At 50.6% G+C, this 16494-nt stretch overlaps 3 annotated features.

The window, feature by feature from the left end:
- Positions 2388-2932: an enhancer, noted in NCBI's record as "H3K4me1 hESC enhancer chr10:133252429-133252973 (GRCh37/hg19 assembly coordinates)". NCBI's record gives its function as "activates a minimal SCP1, AML or CMV promoter by ChIP-STARR-seq in primed H9 embryonic stem cells {active_cell/tissue: H9 hESC(primed)}" and the evidence as "EXISTENCE:reporter gene assay evidence [ECO:0000049][PMID:30033119]".
- Positions 2787-2856: an enhancer, noted in NCBI's record as "active region_4214". NCBI's record gives its function as "activates an Ori minimal core promoter by ATAC-STARR-seq in GM12878 lymphoblastoid cells {active_cell/tissue: GM12878}" and the evidence as "EXISTENCE:reporter gene assay evidence [ECO:0000049][PMID:35858748]".
- Positions 15683-16200: an enhancer, noted in NCBI's record as "H3K4me1 hESC enhancer chr10:133239161-133239678 (GRCh37/hg19 assembly coordinates)". NCBI's record gives its function as "activates a minimal SCP1, AML or CMV promoter by ChIP-STARR-seq in naive H9 embryonic stem cells {active_cell/tissue: H9 hESC(naive)}" and the evidence as "EXISTENCE:reporter gene assay evidence [ECO:0000049][PMID:30033119]".

The following is a 16494-nucleotide window of genomic DNA, read 5'->3' as shown; positions in this document are numbered from 1 at the left end:
ACACTGAAACCTTTCAAAGGGAGGAATGACTTTTTTTTGTGTTTTTAAATATTAAAAACATTAAGACTAAGACTTCGCAAGAGCTGAAATTCCTCACCTGGATTCCCCTGGGATTGCTCTTGGCCACTTTTGTATTTAAATTGAATCTTCAAACATTGCAATTATTGGCTTTCCGCTTCAAATTTAATACATTTTGTAAAAGCAGCCTTTCTGGAATACAGATTCAGAGATGGATTTTCAAAGCCCAAGATTAAGCTAAGTCTAGACAGTGTGATATTTTGACAGAAAAGCATTAACATGCAGTTGTACATTCTGAGAGTTCAGTCACTTTTCTTTCTTAAGCACATTTTAAAGAAAGTCATCTGTCTAGGAGAGTTTGGAAGCCAGCCCTCCGTGGTGCAGCAGATCGGAGTTGATGGGATGTCTGTCTGTCCATGCAGCAGTTGTGCTTTGATGGACCTGATCCCTGAGGGCCTGCTCTGGGCACAGCTGAAGACGCTGGACCACAGAACACAACAGCGGCGTCAGAAGTGGTTAAATTTCACACCCTTCGCTTCTGAGTTCCCTGCGGCCGCACGGGCATTGATGGGCGGTTCTTGCACTGATACTCTCCTCTTCAGGTCCAGCCCTCCGAGATTATTAACCTCCCAGCACCTGAGCACATTTGAGTTCAATTTAGTGATGCTTTCCAGTATGTTCGCTTTGAAATGCTCCTGTCAGGCATGAGATAAATGTGTTGCTGCAAAATTGATCCAATTGCCTGAAACACTGGGGCTACTTCCTCCACGGAGGGTCACGTTTCACAAAGGCAACCTAGTCATCAGCATGATTACATCATTTTTATATTCAAAACAACTAGTTGAGGTTAATCACCTCCGCATCTCCACATTTGAGTAAGAAAAATTATTCAAATACAACATTTTGCCAGAATTTTTTAAGATGGACAATTGGATGTATAAAAATCTATGTCCTGTTTTAGGAAAGCTTAACATTCAGAGATGTAAACTCACAATCAGAAGCAGTTGTGCTTTGCTTCGTCTAAAAATTCTTTGGCTTAATTAGGACACCATCCAGCAGAAACAGCCCTAGTGGAACACAGCATCGGTTTAGAAAATGTGGCCAGGTGCGGTGGCTCATGCCTGTAATCCCAGCACTTTGGGAGGCCAAGGTGGGCGGATCACGAGGCCAGGAGTTCAAGACCAGCCTGGCCAACATGGTGAAACTCCATCTCTACTACAAATATAAAAAATTAGCTGGGCGTGGTGGCACGCATCTGTAATCCCAGCTACTGGAGAGGCTGAGGCAGGAGAAGTGCTTCAACCCGGGAGGCGGAGGTTGCAGTGAGCCAAGATCATGCCACTGCACTCCAGCCTGGGTGACAGAACAAAAAAAAAAAAAAAAAAAAAAAAGAGAAAAAGAAAATTTTAACTCTTTGACAACCTTGAGGCTGGAAATGACACCAACATACAGGGAGCCCTTATTATAAACTTTGAAACAGAGAGAGAGAGAAAGCTGATCTGAAGTTACAAATAAGCTTTGCAGATATCAGGGTTGCACAGGCCACACATGACACCCCGGCTCCTCCATGGGGTAAAACTAGAGTCCGTGTAGTCACTGGACCACAGCAGTCACTGCAAGCATCCCATTCTCTCCCATGAAGAACTGCGGTGGAGATGACCTCTGAGGCTTCACGCCAGGAACCTCCTGGTCCCCTGTCTCTATCCCGAGACCTCTCCAACCTCCCTACAGCTGCAGGATGATTATCTGCTTCCCGCACGGCAGTTAAAATGGGAGAGTCAGCTCCCGGTTTCATAACAGAGTCCTCATCACTCTCTATCTCAGTCATCTGTACAGACATTTTATCAAGAAGCATGCGACTTTTACTGCCAAGAGTTTGTTTTAGTGAAATTAATTGAACCCAATTATAATCTGAAGTACAATGTTTAGCCACAGTTTACATTTGCGCTGTTGCTTGCAATAGAGACATTTATACTGAGACAGAATGGCCGTTTGACAGTTGGTTAAAGATTTTAGAATAAGCAACTTCCACATAGGCGAAAGCATGTTAAAAGCCAGACAATTATGATAATGGGATGCATATTCATATTCCAGAATACCACACAGAAATGAACCAAAAAAGGCTTTTCTTTTTTTTAAAGCCAAGAACAAGCACAGGTATTTAAATCAAAGTAAAAAGTACTCCAGGAACCATCTGTACCAGGGGAAAAGCCGTAATGGGTACCGGGGCTTCGGATGATTAAAGGTTCTCAGCATATGGGGAGCGACCAGTTACTGAGGGACTGGCTCTGCCGGCAGCTGCCACATGGTGCAAATTACAGAGGCAGGCGAGGCTGGGGAGGTGAGCATGGGCTGTGCTGCTCCCGATGCCCTCAAGGAATCTGGGCCAGGCCAGTGGCTCACGCCTGTAATCCCAGCACTTTGGGAGGCTGAGGCAAGAGGAGTTTCCAAGAGGAGCCCAGGAGTTTGAGACTAGATTGGACAGCATAGTGAAAACTCCTCTCTACAAAAAAATTTTAAAAATCAGCTGGAAGGGGTGCCAGACGCCTGTGGTCTCAGCTACTTGGGAGGCTGAGGCAGGAGGATCACTTGAGCCTGGGAGGTCGAGGCTGCCGTGAGCTATGATCAAGCCACTGCACTCCAGCCTGGGCAACAGAGTGAGACCTGACTCAATAATAATAATAAAAAGAAATCTGAAAAAAGACCATTTTGACTATAAACCAAACACCAAAATGAGTACTTCAAACTTTTAATCCCGACAGCGCCCTCTGGACGTAGATGTGGGTACTACAAACTGCACGGATGGCGGTTCAAACTGAGGCCGTGGGAGGGGCCGAGGGAGAAGCATGAGCAAGCTGGCGCAGCTCTTCCGTGACAGGCGGGGCTTGCCTGCAGCAGGGGGCAGGGTCGCACTGAGCTTCTGGGCTGTCAGGGTCCAGTGAGTCTGGCACGTGCATCTCAGAGCTAGGGACGAGCCTTCACCCGCCACAGCCCAGTTGGATTGAGCTCCGCTATCTTAACTCCCCACAAAGCGTGATTCCGGCCTTGAGAGCCTGGGGGCTGAGGAGCCGATACCCCTAAGGGCAGTCCCAGCTGTGGTGGGTGGAACTCCAGGCAGGGAGGAGCGGGAGGAGCACAGGGGTAGTGAGCACCCCAGGCCGGGGAGGTGGCGCGAGTCAGGGCTGTGCATTTGGAAGACACAGCACTGCCTGGGAGGGAAGAGTGATTGGCAGCTGGAGGTCATGTCCTGGCTGGCATGCTCCAGGGGGTCCCGGGGCACAGGGCAGGGGCGGAGCAGGAAGCCTGCAGTCTGTGGAGCATCCCGGCGCTTCCCTCCACCCGGGAGTCCGGGCAGCACGGCGGAGAGTCAGCGACACTGTGCTCCATCCTCCGGCCATCAGTGGCTGCTTCTTCCCAGGGCATGGGAGTGCCAGCGGGGCCCAGAGCTTACAATGGCAGCTGGTTCAGAGGCCAGAGGGGCCGGGGAGGAGCGCCGCTGCAGAGTTCAGAACCTGTCCCTGCTCTGGGCCTCCCCTCAGGGCCCAGGCCACTGCAGCCCCGCCTTGCAGGGTCCTGTGAAGGTCATGGCGTCTGCAGGGGAAGGCTGAGCAGAGCTCCCAGCTAAGCGGTCAGTCGGGCAGCCTTCGTCATTGCCAGGGTCTGGCTGCTGGTGCTCCGCCTACACCCCCTCCCCTCAGCGCCATCCACCTCCCGCCTCTCTGCGCCTCCAGAGCAGGCCGTTCACAATAGTCTGCATCACGCGATGGCGCCAGGCCACCCGGCTTTGCTCTCTGCGGTCTACGTGCGAGTTCTGGAACTGGCTCAACCCTGCAGATGGGACGGGGCCGTCTTTTCCTTACTCTGGACTAGCATGTGTTCTCACAGGGACACCAGCCTTCCTCTCCTAAATGTGGGAGGCCCTCGGTGCTCACGGCTCTGCATCCACTGGCTTCCCCGTTTCGAACAGGAGCACATGTCTGCACCTGGACACCTGGATGCTGCTGAACACGGCTAGGCTGTGTCCCCACCCAGAATCTCTTCTTGAATTGTAATCCCTGTAATCCCTATAATGCCCAGGTGTCAAGGGAGATTGAATCATGGAGGTGATTGAATCATGGGGCGGTTTTCCCCGTGCTGTTCTCCTGATGGTGAGTTCTCGGGAGGTCTGATGGTTTTCTAAGTGAGTGTTTGGTAGTTCTTCCCACATCATTTTCCTTCCTGCTGCCTTGCTTTCCCTTCAGCTTCCACCACAATTGTAAGTTTCCTGAGGCCTCCCCAGCCATTCCTCTCGTGCAGCCTGCTGAACTGTGAGTCAATTAAACCTCTTTCCTTTATAAATTACTCAGTCTCGGGCAGTTCTTCATAGCAGTGTGAAAATGGACTCATACACTGTCTCAGGATGGCATCCAGGCAGCAGGGACATTGAGGCCTCAGTTGGCTCCAGGAGGACGCAGAAACTTCCTTGTTTTGCCATGGCTGAAGGCACCAGACCTACCTACAGGGCTCAGTGGGGGAGCTCACCCTAAACTTGGAAAATAACGTAATGTGGTTGGCACAATTGCCCAAGAGAAGAGACACTGGAATGATAGCGGCTTAAGAAGTGAGAATACAAATGTACACAGCATGATGTTTCTAAAAAACGACTGAAGTACTTTTCTTTTAGCCTTTTTTAAATGCATGAGTTTTTCCTTGGTGATCGTAAGGCGCCTCTGTCTTGAGTTGCACTGAGTGGTAGGAGAATTAGGGTTTTTTTACAGAAAGAATGTAAAGAAAGCACAGTGTTAATGCACAGCTTCAGATATTCAAAATAAAACTGTGCAATTAGACAAAATGCTTGAAAGCCATGAATTGCCAGAAACAGCAAGGATTTTCTAATGTTAGTTCTGAATTTATGGTGGTGGGGGGTGGGGCAGGGCCCAGGCTTGATTGGTGCAGGTCCCAGGAGTCCTCCCATGCCTGGTGTGGGCATTCTCTCTGCTCTTGGTTCCTGCCCTCCTCCGGGAGGAAGTCGAAGGAAACCTGCGTCTCTGGATGGGGTTGTGATGAAGAGAAGGAGCCTGTGGGGGTGGTGGAGGTCCCAAGGTGGGGCCTCACTAGAGGAGGGAGAGGTGCATCCTCTCAGCGGGGCCTCCTCTTGGGCCTCTGGGCAGCCCACAGCTGCAGAAGCTGGCAGCACAGGGAGCAGGGAGCTTGCCCATCTGTGCCTTCCTCAGCTCCTGGTCACTGAAAACTGCCTGGAGAGGTGGCCGGCCTTTTGTGGGACCTGCTGCTGGAGTGGGAGTGAGGAGGCCCCAAAGCAAAGGCAGTGGGGGGTCCCTTGGGCGGCTGGCTGTCAGCTTCCTCTCTGGCTGAGATAGTTGAGGGAGTCACATCATAAATGAAGGATCTCTGGGCATTGGGGAGCCCTCCCCCAGCAGTGCTGTGAGGTCAGGAAGGCCCTGAGCCCCAAACACCCAGGTGCCACTTTGAGAGGAGCAGGCTGATGGTGGGGCTGGGACCCAAAATACCTGCATCGCCTGGAGAGACACGTCCATCCTTGCCTTGGACGGCTTTACCCTGATTGAGCTAAACAAGGTCAATACTTACGCCCCATTTCTCCAGCAGGGGATTTTGAGGAAGGCCAGCCCAGCTGTGGACCTATCTTCCAGATTCTAGAAGAACTGAAGCCAAATGCCCTGTTTTAGGCCTTAGTCCTTCAAGCACTCAAGCACATCCAGTGATTTTTTATCTCTCCTGGGGAAAGGATAGAAATAACAAATTATAACTGTAAAGTATTAATCTTAAGAGGTTCCACCAAGATATGCCCTTTACTTTTTTTGTTGTTGCTGTCATTTATTTTTGAAATGGGGTCTTGCTCTGTCACCCAGGCTGGAGTACAGTGGCGTAATCATAGCTCACTGTAGCCATGACCTCCTGGGCTCAAGTGATTCTCCCACCTTAACCTCCTGAGTAGCTGGGGCCACAGGCATGCACCATCACACCTGGCCAATTAAAAAAAATTTGTAGAGATGGGGTCTCACTATGTTGTCCAGGCTGGTCTTAAACTGCTAGACTCAAGTGATCCTCCCATCTCAGCTTCCCAAAGTGCTGGGATTACAGGCATGAGCCACTGCAACAGGTCTTGCCCTTCACTTTCCTCTTTTTTTTTTTTTTTTTTTTTTTTGATGAAGTATTGCTCTGTTGTCCAGGCTGAAATGCAGTGGAGCTATCTCGGCTCACTGCAAATTCCGTTTCCTGTGTTCAAGCAATTCTTCTGCCTCAGCCTCCTGACTAGCTGGGATTACAGGTGCCCACCATGACATCTGGCTAATGTTTTGTTTTTTTAATAGATTTGGGGTTTCACCATGTTGGCCAGACTGGTCTTGAACTCCTGACCTCAGGTGATCTATCTGGCTCGGCCTCCAAAAGTGCTGGGATTACAGGCATGAGCCACCGTGCCTGGCCCACTTTTCTTATATAAATTTTACATTGATGTGATGGAGTGTGTGTGCACATGTGTGCATGTGAGCATGTGTGTGCCTGTGTGTGTGCACATGTGTGCATGTGAGCATGTGTGTGCCTGTGTGTGTGCACATGCACACCTTCTCCTGTTACAGCTGCATGGCTGGGTGGGGCTGGTTATCCACAGAACCACCTCTAATGAGACAAGGAAAGCGACTGGCTCTCATGGCTGCCAGTCATTTCTGACTTTGGGAAGCAACTTGAAGGCTGCAGGCTGATGCCTAGTTTTGGACGAAATTGCCTGTGTCCTGCAGGACACAGTCCCCAGGGGAGGACTGAGCTGCTCACACATTTGCTGAAGTAACTCCCACCAGCTAAAAGCTCAAATGCCAACGCCCGTGTCGGACCTGCCTGTTGGGAGTGTTGTTTTGGGTAGAGATTAATCAAGCCCGGTGTTCAGACTTCCCTCGGTGTTGCTGATTTTAGAAGAGTCTGATGATATCTTGCTTGATTTTATCATGACCTTAAAACAATCTCAAGGAAACTGCATTTTCTCTGCACATAGAAGAAGCAGGAGGTGAGCTTGCGGCCTCATTCTATGGCTTTTTTTAAAATCGGAGTCTCGCTCTGTCATCCAGGCGGCTGGAGTGCAATGGTGCAATCTTGGCTCACTACAACCTCCACCTCCTGGGTTCAAGCAATTCTCCTGCCTCAGCCTCCCAAGTAGGTGGGATTACAGGTGCCTGCCACCACACCCAGCTAATTTTTTATATTTTTAGTAGAGACGGGGTTTCACTATGTTGGACAGGCTGGTCTCAAATTCCTGACCTCATGATCCGCCCGCCTTGGCCTCCCAAAGTGCTGGGATTACAGGCATGAGCCACTGTGCCTGTCCCATTCTCTGGCGTTTTAAGATCATTTGAGATTCTTATGAAACAGATGTTTGTGTTTCAAATACCAGCAAAATTTCAAATAACATTTGAGAAACAGCAGGATGTATGGTGTTGCCAACTTTTATTTTCCTGAGGAGGAGCAAGCACTGAAGAAGTGGACAGCCGCACACTCCTACGACTCCCCCAAGACCGGCAGACCCCACAGAGCAGAAGTGACATGGGCTGGGAATAGGAAACAGCTCTCCAGATGAATTAAACCCACATGGAAACAACAACAGAAACAATTGAATCACCATATTGTCCTCATCTTTCTGTTCTGGAGACAAGAATCCTACCAGGGACCCCGGGCAGGAAGTTCCATAGCACTCCCTCCCCACAACCAGGCCAAGGGTGTGTTTGGTGTTCCAGGACGCCCCCAGCATCCCCCTGCCCTGACGACCACTCTCACTGAATGTGCTCTGCAGCCGGGGGCAGGCAGAAGCCTTGGTGGACACTGCGGGGAGGTGGCAGAGGGGCCCAAGAAGTGGGGCCCTGTGGGCACCCAAATCCTCCAGTGATCCCAGAGCAGAGAACATGACAAAGCCCAGCACCCAAAACCATGGGAAGCCCAGCAAACAGCCAAAGTCCAGGGAGCAAGACTGCCGCTGTGCCTGGCGTGGACTCGCCATGTCCTGCGGGGCACCCCTGGGATGGGAGCGGCCTGCCTCGTGGAAAGACCCCAAGAGCCCCTGAGTGTCCCGCACCCCCCGCAGGGACTCGCGGTGACCAGGCCTCGGTTATTCACAGGGAGCTTTACCTTTGGGTTAGAATAATCTTAATAATCTTGCGCTTTGTTTTGTCTTCTTCTTCTCTTTTTTTTTTTTGTTTGTTGTTTGTTTTGTTTTGTTTTGTTTTGAGATGGAGTCTCTCTGTCAGCAGGCTGGAGTGCAGTGGCGCAATCTCGGCTCACTGCAACCTCCGTCCCCCGGGTTCAAGCAATTCTCCTGCCTCAGCCTCCCAAGTAGCTGGGACTACAGGTGCGTGCCACGACACCCAGCTAATTTTTGGTAGAGACAGGGTTTCACCGTGTTGGCCAGGATGGTCTGGATCTCTTGACCTCATGATCTGCCTGCCTCGGCCTCCCAAATTCTGGGATTACAGGTGTGAGCCACCGTGTCCAGCCCCTTTTTCAGTTTTCTATCTGGACAGGCAAGGAAAAAAAAGGCTGAGAGCCTATTGGGACCCTCTGAGCAGGAGGTGCACGTCATAATCTCCATGGCCTCTTGGGCAAAGCGACACTGGGGCTGGCCCTCCCAAGGATCTGGCCTGTTTCTTGAAATCAGGGTTGGTGAATCCAGAAGGACAAGCACACATGTCAAATCGAATGTTTCTGCGGGACACCTTGTGTGTGTTTCTGCAACGCCGCATTGTGGGTTTGGAGGGTCACCCAACAGCAGCGTTGGTGTGAGCTGAATCCTCCGGTGTGTGTTATAGCCGTCTGTGTTTCCGCACGCGTCTGCAAGCTGTATTATGTCTGCGTTTTCACTTCCACTTTATTTTTAGGAAAGTATCATATTGCAGAGAATTTAGAAATGTAGACGTATGAGGAATGGAGTTTTCCCTATATCGTGTTTCATGTTAAAAAATAGAAATTTAAAAAATTAGCTGAATTCTTAATGTTGCATTTAGCTAACACATTTCTTTCAAGAACCTCAAAGCTCAATGCCAGTATTTAAATATAGGTTTTTTTTTTTTTAATCACTTAGTAAAGTGTGAATGCATGTTACAGAGGCTCGTGCCGTACTCTTCCTTTGTGTGGTGATAACACCATTCTGCTGTCACTATTTCTGTGGAACATTGCTTGTTGTTTGGGCTGTGAGAAAAGAAGCTGAATGGAATTTTTGAGAGGAAGCTGAAGTTCATGCACCAACTCAAGTCATCTGTGAGATTTCTCAGAAAGGAAGCACTTTGTGCTATTGACTGAAGGATTGACTGATTCCTTGATCTGGACATGAGGTTTACATATCTAAGCTTCGAGGCTTAGTCAACAGTAGAGGCCAAGTCCCTTTGGGATTAGTATGAGTCTTTTATATGATTTACTTTTATGAAGACACAGCCTAGCCCAGCAGATCCATAAGCAGCTTTTCCCTAGAACACAAAACTCACTAGCATATTATAGAAATTCAATATAAATGATAAATAATAACATACTTCTTTTAACAGTTATAATTATGTAACTTTATATTCTAAATTATGTATGCTGACAATGATAAATCGTATAAAATGCACAGTGGTTTATGTCTTAGGGTTGGAACTTTTTTCCTTTCCTCCCTGACTGACTGCAGTGTCCTCAATGCTAAAATAGGGCTTACTGAGGTAGCTGCTTAAAACTATCTGCAGAATGTTTTAAGCTCCCTTCTGTGGCAGCTTTCAGTCCACACTCGATGACTGATTAATAAGTCACCAGCTCTGGAAGGCAGATACCTCTTACTAATAACTTCTAGCATCATGGACAATGACTTCACTCTTGTGAACTTGGGGCCTGTTTGTCCAAGTCTTCCTACAAATTTGGTGATCACCAAACACATTGATTATATTTGAGTCTCTATCTGGAACTTTGTTAATTGTTTTTCCTTTTTCCTTTCTCTCTCTTTTTTTTTTTTCTTCTGAGGTGGAGTCTCACGCTCTCATCCAGGCTGGAATGCAGTGGAGCCATCTCGGCTCACTGCAGTCTCCGCCTCCTGGGTTCAAGCAATTCTCCTGCCTCAGCCTTCCCGATAGCTGGGACTACAGGCACTTGCCACCCTGCCTGGCTATTTTTTTTTTTGTATTTTTAGTAGAGATGGGGTTTTACCATGTTGGCCAGGCTGGTCTTGAACTCCTGACTTCAAATGATCCACCTGCCTCAGCCTCCCAAAATGTTGGGATTACAGGCGTGACCCACCGCTCCTGGCCAGTTAATTCTTTTTCTTATTAAATTGCAGTGTCATGAAGATGAAAGGGGTGGAGGCACGTCCTGCATATGGCATTCCAGAGTTTCCTTTAGAGTTTCTGCAAAACCCCAGGAAGATTCCAGGTGTCAGCCTGTCCAAATTTCCCATGAGTAACGTCAGGTTTGGGTTTACTGGAGAGAGAGAGGGCTAGAACCTGTGAAAGTTATGTGGTCACACAAGGCTGGGGGGATTCCAGCTCCAACAACGATCCACCGATCGTTGTTACCTCCCTGTAACGTGCCAGCACCACACACGCACGCACGTACACACTGAATTCTTAACGCCTTATCCAAAACTCCCTTCCATCTTTCTATTATGCTATCTATCTTGATAATTTTTTGATCTCACTTACACAGCCTGAATCCCCAAATGTGCCTTGCCAGCTGGCATGGCATTATTGAGCCATCCATCATGATGGTGACATTGCCACTAACTAACTAGCAGCAGTTGCAGATGGTGCCAATGCGTTCTCGGAGACCCAGGCCAAGCAAATTATATCACACTCGGTTTTTTTCATGGTCTTTCCTTATTTGGTTTTGAAAATGACAGGATATCAACCAATGTATTCTCTAATTCCAAAGACTCATAAGGTCGGGAGGGTTCATCTTCTCATTAAAGATGAATGGCATTGACATTTGAACAGATCACTTCCAATCAGTCCTGAGGACTCCACGCGGGTGAATATTAAAAATCTTTTCCGTACACTGCAGCCCAGCCACACCTGTATGGATGTGTGATTTAAGGAGGGAAACTGCCCTTGTGCATTGCTTCCCCCTTTGCTGGCTCTAACACAGAAAGTCCATTTTTCTGTCCTAGCCTCTTAAGGCAGCTGCCAAGAGCCAGAGTTGAAGTGGTCAAGGTTCTAGTGAAGGTTTTCATGGAGATGTGGAGAAGATCCCCCATGAGCTCAGCCCTCCCCGGGAAGCCCGCCGTCCTTCCCGTCTCCCCACCCCATGTTATCTGCTAGACCATCTTACCAACCAAAGCCTGTAGCTCCAGGGCACCCGCCCACCTGCACGGAACAGCCCCCACATCTCACTGGGCATTTGAGCCTAACCTGTGTTAACGAGTCTCAAAGGTTGAAGGACTGTGTTGAACGATGATGGCATTATTCATTCTCCTTAGAGACATTTATTGAACAATATAGTGTCAATTGGTTTCAGGAACAAAAACCGATTTTAATTGCCGCCCCAGAGGATGCTGAAAGAAGTCCCCATTTCATCCTGGGAGCGATACCCCTGGTTCCCTTCTCCAGTGCTCAGATTCCAGTTTCAAAAGCTCTGTCTGCTCCACTGTGTGTCTGTCTGTGCAGTGGTCCTGTGGCTGCCGTGACAGTGGAGAAATTAAAGAACATGAAAGAGGGAGCCCAGCCATTCCACTGTGGTTGGCTAGTCACACAGATGCCTCAAAGCCCAGGCCCTGTGCATTCTCCACACTCTGCAGCGGTGAGAAAACTGACACTCGGGTGGCTGTTTCCCCAGTTTCCTGCACTTACAGCCTGTCACCTTTCCCGGGAGCCTGACTCCTCCATGCAGCCTGCTGTCCTGGAACCTCCACCGTGCTGGTTCCATTGCAGCGGTGGAATCCCCTCTGTTTCAACCTAGTGAAGACTCCCCGAGCAGCAGTCAAATTTGGTGCTTTCGTGGGAAGGCTCTTGCATTCTGAGTTGTAAAAGTTCTCAAAGGAGAGATCTCAACCACAACCCCATTCCAGCTCTGCACATGCGCAGTCTCATATCCTGGCTTCCAGCCTGTGCTTTGCTGGCACCATATCCTGAGTTCCCGGGTCATCAGCCACTGTGCTTCCGTCCTTCAACCCAGGCTCCACAAACATGTGTCATTTGATTCTGTGCGCAGGTTTCCATCTCACCCCTGTGTGCTCACCTGAGTGCAGGTATCCACTAAACCCCTGTGAGCTCACCTCAGTGCAGGTTTCCATCTCACCCCTGTGTACTCACCTGAGTGCAGGTATCCACTAAACCCCTGTGTGCTCATCTCAGTGCAGGTCTCCCCCACACCCCTGTGTGCTCACCTCAGTGCAGGTATCCACTAAACCCCTGTGAGCTCACCTGAGTGCAGGTCTCCCCCAAACCCCTGTGTACTCACCTGAGTGCAGGTCTCCATCTCACCCCTGTGTGCTCACCTCAGTGCAGGTCTCCCCCACACCCCTGTGTGCTCACCTCAGTCTAGGTCTCCCCCACACCCCTGTGTACTCACCTGAGTGCAGGTATCCATCACACCCCTGTGTGATCTATTATAGCCTCTATGACAGCCCCTTGTGCTCACCTGTGTGCAGGTGGCTCTGTGCCAGTGAGGGTCAGTCCCCTGTGGGTGTTTGTTGAGTGAAGGACACAGCCCTTCTGTGGTTTTGCTGTTGCCCTCCACATTGATGCCCTGCTGGGGTAGGCAGGCATGGGCCCTGGGTCTTCCTTCTGCCACTGTCAGCCTCCTAGGTGGATGAGTGTACAGTGACTGTGCCTGACAGCAGCACCTGGAGCCCAGTGTGAGAATGACCCTGGATGGCAGGTGCACCTGAGTGCGGTTCAGCGTTGTGAGTTAAGGAATCCAGGAGAGGCCAACCTGGAGATTTTTTCCTTCCCTGTGAGGAACATCTGAGCCCCCAGCCTGTCCCTTGGGTTGCGGGTTGTACAGGGGATCGAGACCCTTTGTTTTGGGGTAAATGAAGGCTGCCGGGTGGAGGTTGTTTGGGGAGGGTGCTGAGTTGTCACGATTCTCCTGCCCAGCCTGCTGGACTCTCTCCCCTGTCTGTAGCCCCCAGTGAAACACCATGTCTCCTTTGCTGGCCCTGGGTCTCTTCTCCAGCCTCTTGAACCTGGTGCCATCCCTACTGGAGTTGATAGGGTCACAGGAGTCTCTTACTTCTCCATTCTAGAGAACTGTGGTGGACATTCAAAAGGTGTAGGGAGATGTGGCCCATGGCACCAGGAGTCCACGGCATGGTGTGAAAGTCAGGGCTTCTCCAAAGAAGGAGGAGGACATGGAGGAGGAGAGGGAGGGGGAGAGGGAGGAACGAGAGGAAGAGGAACTGTCCATGGCAGGACATGGTGTGGTCACAACCTTGCCTCCGGCACCTGCGCGGCTGCTGTGGGCTGAGCATTTGGCCATCTGGGCCCTGTGGGCTCCACCTTATAGCCCCATTCTTCCAGCCTCCAAGGAGAAATTCAGTAACAACATGGTGGGGACACAAGTTTTCAAAAGCGCTTGTGGAAGAGGTGGTCCCATCCCACCTGAAGAATGGGGAGAATCGGATCCTGGTCCCAGGCAGTGGGCGGTGGGCGGCGGGCAGTGGGCAGGTCCGCTGGACCTCGGAGTGTGGCTTCTACTGGAGACACCAGCTCAGCCTCTGCCCTGGGACTTCTGTTTAAAAATGCAAACCACACAGAATCCATTACCTAAAACCTTCCACTTTGCATTAAAAAGTATAATTAAGAGTTTTAATGAGTTCGTGTGGAGCTGCAGGTGAGTGTCATTAACACATCTCAGGGCTGCAGCTGGAACTTTTAAATGGCAATTTCTTTCTTCTGCACTGGGTCTGATCAACTATAGACATTAAATTTTTTCCAATTTAAAGTTGAACGTCAAATAATAAAATTAGCTATGTTTGTTTTTAATCTGAGGAATTAGAGCCCGAAGTTTCAGATCAGACTCAGGCTCTGATAATCAGTGATGGGAGTCACAGGCTCTGAAAGAAAGTGAAGAAATGCAGGTGGCAAGGCAGACCAAACAGGACTGAGAGGGCCGAGGCCGCTCCAGGAACATTATCTGACATAACATTGTATTTATACCTATAATTGGTAAAGAGTTCAAAAATCACTTCTGGGCCAGGGCGGTGGCTCACGCCTGTAATCCCAGCACTTTGGGAGGCTGAGGCGGGCAGATCACGAGGTCAGGAGATCGAGACCATCCTGGCTGACACGGTGAAAACCCGTCTCTACTAAAAATACACAAAAAATTAGCCGGGCTTGGTGGCCGGCACCTGTAGTCCCAGCTACTGGGGAGGCTGAGGCAGGAGAATGGCGTGAACCTGGGAGGCAGAGCTTGCAGTGAGCCGAGATGGTGCCACTGCACTCCAGCCTGGGTGACAGAGCCAGACTCTGCCTCAAAAAAAAAAAAAAAAAAAAAAAAATCACTTCTGGGGAAGGGAGACGGAAGGAGGCAGAGGGAAACACTGTATGATATGGGCCCTGACACTTCATGCCTTAGCATCTCATACCCCAGCAGGACCATCCTCAGCCGGCCATGCGGGCACCACAACACCAGCAGGGACAGGGCTCTCAGAAAGAGGAGCCCACCTTGAGAGGCTTCCCACGCCTGGGCCAGGCTTCCCGTGTGTACTGGAGGATGCATCCCAGATCAGTCAATCTCTCGCTCTTGCACTCACACACACACCGTCCACATAAAAGAAATCAAGAAATCAGGAAATCAAGTTAAAAATACAAAAGATAGCTAAATGTGCAAGAAGACATTACAGTTAAGAACTCGAGTTTAAGTGACTTTGTATTTCCTTCCTTGTTTCATTTTCAATCTCATAGCAGCAGGGAGCCATCCCTGCACAGCTGGGCAGCTCACCTGTTGGTGCTTAAACACTGAGATGCTTCTGCCCCTCCCAGGGGTTCTCACCTCCATCCTGGTTCTCACCTCCAAGGGGTTCTCACCTCCAAGGGAGCCTCATCTCCATCCTGTGCTTACTCCGGGCTCTTGACGTCTTTGTCTGGCCCTCCAGACCCTGATGTGTTTGGGGGCAGGTCCCGATGACCAACCTCTGCATCCTCGTCACTTTGCACCATGCCTGGTGCCCACTGAGCCCTCATTCAATGCTGCCTGAATAACGGCTAGGAAAACTCAAAGAATAAATTGAGCCCACACAAGTGCATTTTCCATGCAATTAAAGCTCTTTCCTTATTACTCAAGCTTATGTACTTAACTATCTTTTTTTTTTTTACAACTGCAAAAGAAAATCTTTCAGACTTTCCTGCCTTCCTAGGAGAGCTGCCCAGCTTGTTAGACACCTCCACCTGGATGCCAGCATGAACCTGATTTCCACATGCACAAAACTCACTCCCTCAGCCCCTCCCTCCCCTGCTTCCTCTCTCCATCACCTGGCTCCATCGCCCCTCTCCCTCTCTGCCTCCACCTCCCATCTGTCCCGTGGAGGGTCCGCACTACTTTCCACCAGCAGAGGTGGGGAGTGTGGCTGCAGCCACAGATTCCTGCCTCCAGCTGCGGGGGGTTTAGCCAAGGGCAGGCATCTGCGGGCAATGGAGTGAGAGGAGGAGAGAGCTGGCCTTCCTCCCTCTCTCCTTTTCCCCCTTCCTTTCTTCCTCCTTCCTTCCCTCCCTCTGTCCCTTTTTCTTTCCTTTTCCCTCCATCCTTTCCCTCCTCCTTACTCCTTCCCTCCCTCCTTTATTCCACCTTCCTTCCAGCTGGGTTAGTATGGGTGACTCAGCTCCCATCCCAAAGACTGTAGTGCCTTTAGGTGATCCTCTTCTGGCAGTGCCCAGGACAGGAGGGACCCGGAAAGATCCGACGGGCACATCCCGTTGTCGCTGACCAGGCGATGCTGGGTAGATGGCAACAGGGAGCAGGTGGCGCCTGCAGCACGGCAGAGTGCCTGGGTGAGGGCACACGGCAGGGCAATGAGGGTGGGAGGAGCTGGATGCATAATCTCGGGGTCCTGGTGCAAAATGACAACGTGGGGTCTCCCATTCAAACATGGCTGAGGCTTTCCTGATGATGCACAGAGCATTAGGTCAGTGGCGGGCATCCTGAGCTCGGGGCCCTGCCCCACTGTGAGGGTCACGTGTGCATGGGGCCGGCCCTGTGGGCAGAATGACAGCTACTCACCAGCAAGGTGTGGGCATCGGGGGTGAGCAGGAGCGCCTGGCCTGGGGTGGAGGGGGCGTCTGGGTCAGGCTCAGGCCCCTCCCTCTTCCCTCCCTGCTGACCGGTGACGACCACTTCGGAAGCGGCTGTGCCCCTGGGAACACCCTCACAGATTCCCAGACCTGCTCCTTCACGCAGTATCGCCTCTCAGCCAGGAGCCTGCGCTTCCCAGCTACCTTCCTCAGCAATGGGGTAGGTGCAGGCGGCTGGGCTGGAGCCGGCTCCTCCGTGACCTGACTCCCTGGCTCTCGGGTCATGTCCAGCTCC

This window comes from Homo sapiens, chromosome 10, assembly GCF_000001405.40.
Source record: "Homo sapiens chromosome 10, GRCh38.p14 Primary Assembly".
Taxonomy (NCBI): domain Eukaryota; kingdom Metazoa; phylum Chordata; class Mammalia; order Primates; family Hominidae; genus Homo; species Homo sapiens.
Note: the sequence above shows the minus strand (reverse complement) of the source record. Positions and strands in the feature narration are given on the sequence as shown.